At 43.4% G+C, this 7,300-nt stretch overlaps 1 protein-coding gene across 3 annotated transcripts in view; it reads left to right on the plus strand.

Annotated features, from left to right (window-relative positions):
• Positions 1-6,327, plus strand: part of EIF4B (eukaryotic translation initiation factor 4B) — a 35,760-nt gene extending 29,433 nt beyond the window's left edge. For all 3 annotated transcript variants that reach the window (NM_001300821.3, NM_001417.7, NM_001330654.2), the window contains 5 exons: positions 1,521-1,734; positions 2,468-2,523; positions 3,350-3,455; positions 3,742-3,814; positions 4,255-6,327. In NM_001300821.3, coding sequence (NP_001287750.1) covers positions 1,521-1,734; positions 2,468-2,523; positions 3,350-3,455; positions 3,742-3,814; positions 4,255-4,335 — 530 coding nt within the window. In that variant the 3' untranslated portion in view covers positions 4,336-6,327. The remainder of the gene's footprint in view (positions 1-1,520; positions 1,735-2,467; positions 2,524-3,349; positions 3,456-3,741; positions 3,815-4,254) is intronic.
• The last annotated feature ends 973 nt before the right edge of the window (positions 6,328-7,300 follow it).

The following is a 7,300-nucleotide window of genomic DNA, read 5'->3' on the forward strand; positions in this document are numbered from 1 at the left end:
CTCACTGCAACCTCTGACTCCCTGGTTCAAGCAATTCTCCTGCCTCAGCCTCCTGAGTAGATGGGATTACAGGTGAGCGCCACCATGCCCGACTAATTTTTTGAACGGGCTGGTCTCAAACTCCTAACCTCATGATCCACCCGTCTCGGCCTCCCAAAGTGCTGGGATTACAGACGTGAGCCACCATGCCTGGCCTTCTATTTTTTTTATTTTTTATTTTTGTATTTTATTTATTTATTTTGAGACGGAGTTTCGCTCTTTTTGCCCAGGCTGGAGTGCAATGGCATGATCTCAGCACACTGCAACCTCTGCCTCCCGGGTTCAAGTGATTCTCCTGCCCAAGCCTCCCGAGTAGCTGGGATTACAGGAGTCTGCCACCAGGCCTGGCTAATTTTTTGTATTTTTAGTAAAGACGGGGTTTCACCATGTTGGCCAGGATTGTCTCCATCTCTTGATCTTGTGATCTGCCCGCCCTGGCCTCCCAAAGTGCTGGGATTACGGGCGTGAGCCGCCGTGCCCGGCCTAGTTTTTTATTTTTAAGACAGGGTTTCATTCTCACCCAGGCTGGAGTGCAGTGGTGCGATCATAGCTCACTGCAGCCTCAAACTCCTGGCCTCAAGCAATCCTCTTGCCCCAATATCCCAAGTAGCTGTTATACGACGGGTGCACGCAACCATGCCTGGCTAAATTTAAAAAATTTGTTTTTTTAGAGATGGGGTCTCACTACACTCCCCAGGCTGGTCTCAAACTCCTGGCCTCAAGCAATCCTGCCTCAGCCTCCCAATGGGGGCTCCTTGTTTTTAGAAGACACTTAACTGCATTTTTTAAAAAACGCACGTGTAGGTTGTTGTTTTTTGAGATGGAGTCTCACTCTGTCAGCCAGGCTGGAGTGCAGCAACATGATCACAGCTCACCTCATCATTTCTAGTAGCTGGGACTGCAGGCACATGCCACATCCAGCTAATTTGTCTATTTTTTGTAGAGCTGGGGTTTCACCATGTTGTCCAGGCTGGTCTGAAACTCTTAGGCTCAAACGATCCGCCCCCAACAGCCTCCCAATATCCTAAGATTACAGGCGAGAGCCACTGCACCCAGCCAGTAGGTGGTTTTTCATAAATATGATTGCATCATAGTCCATGTGTGTTGAGTTTTAAGCTGAAGTTGAGCAGTGGTTACTAGAGTTTGGGGTTTCATTGTAGGTCCTCTTCACATATGTATATTCTCCAGGTCAAGACACTTTTAACATTGAGAATGCAGAAAGGCTGTAAAGGATACTCATTCCTAAAAAGGTCACATGGCTGGGTGTCCCTTAAGTTGTATACATGGTCATTATTTTTTCTATTTCTCTGTGCATCAGTAAGACATTGTTCTGGAAATACTTGTAAACCACTGGTTTAGGGATAAATCCATCTTTGGGAGCCAAAACTTGGATGTGGACCATTTTCCACACTGTTGAGATCCTGGTAGATGCGTGAGCATCTGCAGCCTGATAATTTGATATTTTCACTCTGGCTTCACAGATGCACGAAGGAGAGAGAGTGAGAAGTCTCTAGAAAATGAAACACTCAATAAGGAGGAAGATTGCCACTCTCCAACTTCTAAACCTCCCAAACCTGATCAGCCCCTAAAGGTAATGCCAGCCCCTCCACCAAAGGAGAATGCTTGGGTGAAGCGAAGTTCTAACCCTCCTGCTCGATCTCAGAGCTCAGACACAGAGCAGCAGTCCCCTACAAGGTGAGTCAGTTTGGAAACAGTAGTTGGTTAACTGCAGATTCTAAAATACTGTGATGTAATGATGGAAGATCTCCTACGGGATGCCAGCGTTGTATAGCACCTTATAAGTTATGCTGGCTTTAGTCTCTTAGTGTGCTGGAACTGGCTCATAAGACCTAGTTGTTCCATTTTCTGGAGTTCCACCACTTTGATAGCTTGAAATCAGCTATGATGGGAGTACTAATGCCGCACAAATCTGCAAATACTGTAAGTCAGAGGCTTCCCTTTTGCCACATATTGGCAGTATGGTAGGGGGTAACTTCCTTTCATTTCTCTTAAGTCTTCTCATTTGTAAGCAAAATAGCAACACTATTAGCCTGGCGTGGTGGCAGGTACCTGTAATCCCAGCTACTCGGGAGGCTGAGGCAGGAGAATTGCTTGAACCTGAGAGCGGAGGTTGCAGTGAGCCGAGATGTGCCATTGCACTCCAGCCTGGGCGACAGAGTTAAGACTCCAAAAGAAAAGAAAATAGCAATACTAATCCTGCATGATGTGATGATTAGAAAGCATATGGCACTTTAGTGTTCAAATTACTGCTTTCATTGTAATCTTTCCCATATTTTAATGTTCCATAACATTGAGTATGATTTTGTTTTCTATAAAGCTTACCCACTGCATTTGGAGGATGATTATGTTTCTTGGTTGTTTTCTCCCTGAAACAACTGATGAATGTGATTACCTGTTTTCCTTCTAGTGGTGGGGGAAAAGTAGCTCCAGCTCAACCATCTGAGGAAGGACCAGGAAGGAAAGGTGAGCTCATAGTATGGGAAATAGGTTTTTCACCTAGAAGCCTAAATAAAAAGGCCTCCAAAATTAGATTTTGAAGAGCAGTGTGTCTCGCACCTGATACCGTGTTAAGAGTTCTTGGGTTGGCCAGGCGCAGGGGCTCACACCTGTAATCCCAGCACTTTGGGAGGCCAAGGCGGGCAGATCACAGGGCAGGAGTTTGAGACCAGCCTTACCAACATGGTGAAACCCCGTCTCTATTAAAAATACAAAAAAAATTAGCCGGGTGTGGTGGCACATGCCTGTAATCCCAGCTACTCGGGAGACGCTGAGGCAGGAGAATTGCTTGAACCCGGGAGACGGAGGTTGCAGTAAGCCAAGATGGCCCCACTGCACTCCAGCCTGGGCGACAGAGCAAGACTCTGTCTCAAAAAAAAAAGAATTATTGGGTTATCTACCTTTTCTTGCCAGTAGAGGGAGGAGTGGCCTCTTTGGAGAAAGTATGAAACCCTGCCCTTTCCTGGTAGAACATTTCTTTGACGGGGAGAAAAAAATCGGAAGGAAATTAACCAAGGTCACTACAGAGCGTCATAATCTTTATTTCCAGCTTGCTTTTCATGATGGCATATCCCTACATGGAACTTTTTAGTGGATTTTGTTTGTTTTTTGTATTTTTGTGTGCTGTAGAGGATGTGGAAAGAAGGGCTTCAGGAAGGAAGTCTGGGTTGGGGTGAGGTTAGTTTCCCTCAGTACATGTGGGCACAATTTTCTTCAGCTTAAGGGAAATCTTAGGAGAGGGACATTGATACTTTTACTTGCCTTTAATTTGTTTACATTACTGCCCAAGCAGATGAAAATAAAGTAGATGGGATGAATGCCCCAAAAGGCCAAACTGGGAACTCTAGCCGTGGTCCAGGCGACGGAGGGAACAGAGACCACTGGAAGGAGTCAGATAGGTATGCTTGTTCTCTTTCTCATCTTTCCTCTGATCCACATGTTTGTGTAATTAAGAAATTAAGTTCTTGGTTCTCAGAGCACTGCCAGATCGCTCATTGTGAGCAAACTAAAGTCAGCCAACGTAGACAGTTAAGATTCTGAAAATCTAGAAGTAATACATCATCCAGACAACAAGGACTGTTGACTAGAGGTGCCTGTTCAGTGCCTTGAAACTGCATGCATACACATGTTTGTATTAGGCGAGTCCTTTCCTAAAGACATGGTTTTATGCTTACGTCTCTGCAGGAAAGATGGCAAAAAGGATCAAGACTCCAGATCTGCACCTGAGCCAAAGAAACCTGAGGAAAATCCAGCTTCCGTAAGTGTTGAAGGCTGCTCCCAATTTTTCATTCTAAGAAAAATTCTTAGAATTCTAAGTATTCTTACTAAGAATTAAAAATTCTTAGTATTCTAAACTTTTTGCCGTTGGACTTCTTTCCATTTGGAATACAAAGTGTTTGGAAATAAGACATTGGTCTTTACTGAAATAGCGAAAGAAGTTTAGCTTTTTCCTGGTTTCTGTCTTCCTTTGTTCTCATCCCTTCTGCAAGGTGTAGAGGTGGTATGAGACTATAGTAAGATCGCATGTGCCTCTGACCCTCTTCCCTAGCTCCTCTCCAATGGACAATGCTGATGAGCAAGCAAGTGGGTGTCATCTGACTGTCATCCCCCATTGCCAAAGGATCAGTATCCTGTGTCTTGGGTTTTGATGTGATAATTCAGGGCCTTCATTATCCTGTCACTCTCGTTGTGTTACAGAAGTTCAGTTCTGCAAGCAAGTATGCTGCTCTCTCTGTTGATGGTGAAGATGAAAATGAGGGAGAAGATTATGCCGAATAGACCTCTACATCCTGTGCTTTTCTCCTAGTTTCTCTCCACCCTGGAACATTCGAGAGCAAATCAAAACCTCTATCCAGACAAGACAAAATAAAACTCACCATCTCCTGAAGACCTTTCTTACCTTTTTTTAAAAACAAAAAATGAAATTATTTTGCATGCTGCTGCAGCCTTTAAAGTATTGAAGTAACTGGAGAATTGCCAATACAGCCAGAGAGAAAGGGACTACAGCTTTTTAGAGGAAAAGTTGTGGTGCGTTATGTCACCATGCAGTTGCCAGTGTGATTAGTGCCTAGGGGTCTCCATTTAGCAGAAATGGTAATGACAGTGATATAATGCCTGGAACCTGGTTGGGCAGTAGGGGAGGGAGGTAGAAGGAAAAGTGTGAGATTTCTACCTTTTAGTTTTTATCCTATTGTGGCATATATGAATTCTCAAACATTATCTGAATAAATTTTCCACTCTTGGAAAGGTAGATTTAGCCTCAAGTTGTTCTAGTCTCCAGGAGGCTGCCAGCCCCTCCTCTTATTTAATTCTGAGTTTTGGGGGCCAGCCTAGAGGGAATTCCTTTTTTTTTTTTAACCCCCCAGGGGGGTAGTTGGGAGTGAGACTATAGGCCATAAAGAATGGGACTGCATTGGACCAAAATAAATGGGAAAATCGTGGTTTGAAAAGAAGCTTTTGGGAAGTGATGAGTCATTTTGCACCAGGTAATAGGGGAAAATTGTGTGACCTCCAGCAAACACATGAATGGTTATTTCCTGGAGCCGGAAGCACTTGGGGGTCGTGGTAATTCCCAGTGTTTTCTGTGTCCTAGTTTTACCCTTTCTAAACACTGTCCTTTTTGAAAGTTTTGAATATATCCACATTCTATTGAAACCTTGAAACTAAAAATTTAGACTCTTATCATCATCTTAAGTTCTTCATGCTACTCTTAACCTCCCAAAAAGCAGTATCTAAGTCACATACATGATGTCTTGGGCATTTTCTCAGCCATGGAGAACTCTGAAAGGAAGAATCGCTGCTTTTCTCAAGCAAATCGGTTTCTTGATGTCTTTTGGTTCTCCTTGCCTGCTCCTGATGCTTGGACCCCTTTTATTGATCAGAGTGCTCTAGAATAATGGATGGTCTTGGATGATGGATAAATAGGGACAGGGACAGTTAAATTGGGAGCCTTTCTTACAACCTTGATGGGATTTTTCCCCCCAAGTTTCCTTCTCCACTGAAATGCCACACTAATGCTTGTTGGATTCATGAGGTGGCCAGACCAATGTGTTGTTTTGTTGTTGTTTTTTTAAGCTTCCCTTGAGAGAATAAATGGTAATGGAGAGAACTATTTAACAAGGTCCTGGTTTCTCTTGCAACACAGTAGCTAAACTTGCCTGCTTTTATATGCATTTTTGTAGGGATCAGCTTGGTAGACAGTATTAGCGGAGAAACACCTTGATCTTGGTTTGCAAGCCCTTCTCCCATCAGTCCTAGATTAGGCCCTGTTCAGCCATGCAGGGGTGTTGGTTTATGCGTGCTGCAGCAGTGGGCATAATGAATATAATTTACCCAGTGGACAAAGGTGTGTACCAAGTGAATTTAAATAATTGGTGTGGATTGGCCAGTAGCTAAGAAGTGGGCTTTTAAAGAGTATTGAAGATTGAAAGGGTTTTTCTTTCTTTTTTAAAAAAGAAAAACAAACTATTGATTGTAGATAATGAAAAGCTAGGGTTTGCCCTCTTCATGTCTACTCTCCTTCCAAATAGTTATATCCAAAACTGTTTTTCCCTCTCCCCTACCTTGTCCCCCCTATTAAAATAGAAACAGGGATTGATTAATGTCCCGCTCCTGAATACATGTAAAATTTGTACAAAAATATCTTCTATGAAAATGATTTGTAATCTGTAGACTTATTACCTGGGAGATGTCTTGATGTAAAATCCCATCCTTTGGGTTGTGGGTTTTTTGTTTTCTCCAAATAAATCTGATCTTTAAAGTTCATTGTAATGCTGAAGTTCTTTGACAAATACTCTGCACTCCCAGTGGTTTTTACTGTAGTCATTGACCACCTGCTCCTCCTCCTCCTACCATCTCTGAAGTTTTCATTCAGTATTGGATACCATATTGTCCAAGATTAGAGGGTGGGGTTACAAGGGAATCTATTTCAGTGTTTATTGAGGCCCAATAATAGAGTTTGCATCCTAGCTCCCCTCTGGCTTTTTTTTTTTTTTTTTTTTTTTTTTTTGCCTGGTGTTAAATTTTTTAATCACCTGGATGTGCCTGCAGTCTATTTCCTGTACTGTTTATTTTAATCAAGATGTGGGAACTCTAAGAATGAATCCTTGTGTCCTTGGGGCAGTTCCCTCATAATCTCCCTCCCTCACTTCAGCAATCTGGAGAGATGCTGCTCCCTTGAGTTACACCGCACTGGTGGACCAGAGATACTGGTGACAGGCTGGTCGAGGTTACCAGAACAGAGGCTCACAGACTCAGTGGGAATTTTCCAAACAGCTAGGGACAGACTGGTCATTGTTGCAAGGCGGGAAAGGGGTTAGGACAGTGGCAGAGAATCCTTAAGGTCACAAGGAGGTGGAGCATAGAAAGGAGCCCGGGAAACCTCAGTCAACAATTTTGGGGATTTAAGAGCCAAGATGAGGAGCCAGTTAAATGATTTCCCAGCCAATTGGAGCAGCTGCTCTTCTAGTTTCTGGCCAGTGCATTTATCTCTGTTCTCCAAAACTGGTAAAGTTGAAGGCTATGAGACTCAGCTGTGATGATGTGAAGGCTTTTCAATGTGGGTTTAGGTGCCCCTATTGTCCAGGCTGCCTGGAAACCTACAAGGTAATGCTTTTTCACTGCCTCTCCACCACAGGAATCAGTTTCACTCACATTCTCCAAGCCTTTGTTTCAAGCCACTCTCAGCTGTGCAATAATGAGGTCTAGGTAAATGATGGAAAGAAGGAACATAAAAATAGGAAAG

The sequence above is a fragment of the Homo sapiens genome, chromosome 12, assembly GCF_000001405.40.
Source record: "Homo sapiens chromosome 12, GRCh38.p14 Primary Assembly".
Lineage (NCBI taxonomy): Eukaryota > Metazoa > Chordata > Mammalia > Primates > Hominidae > Homo > Homo sapiens.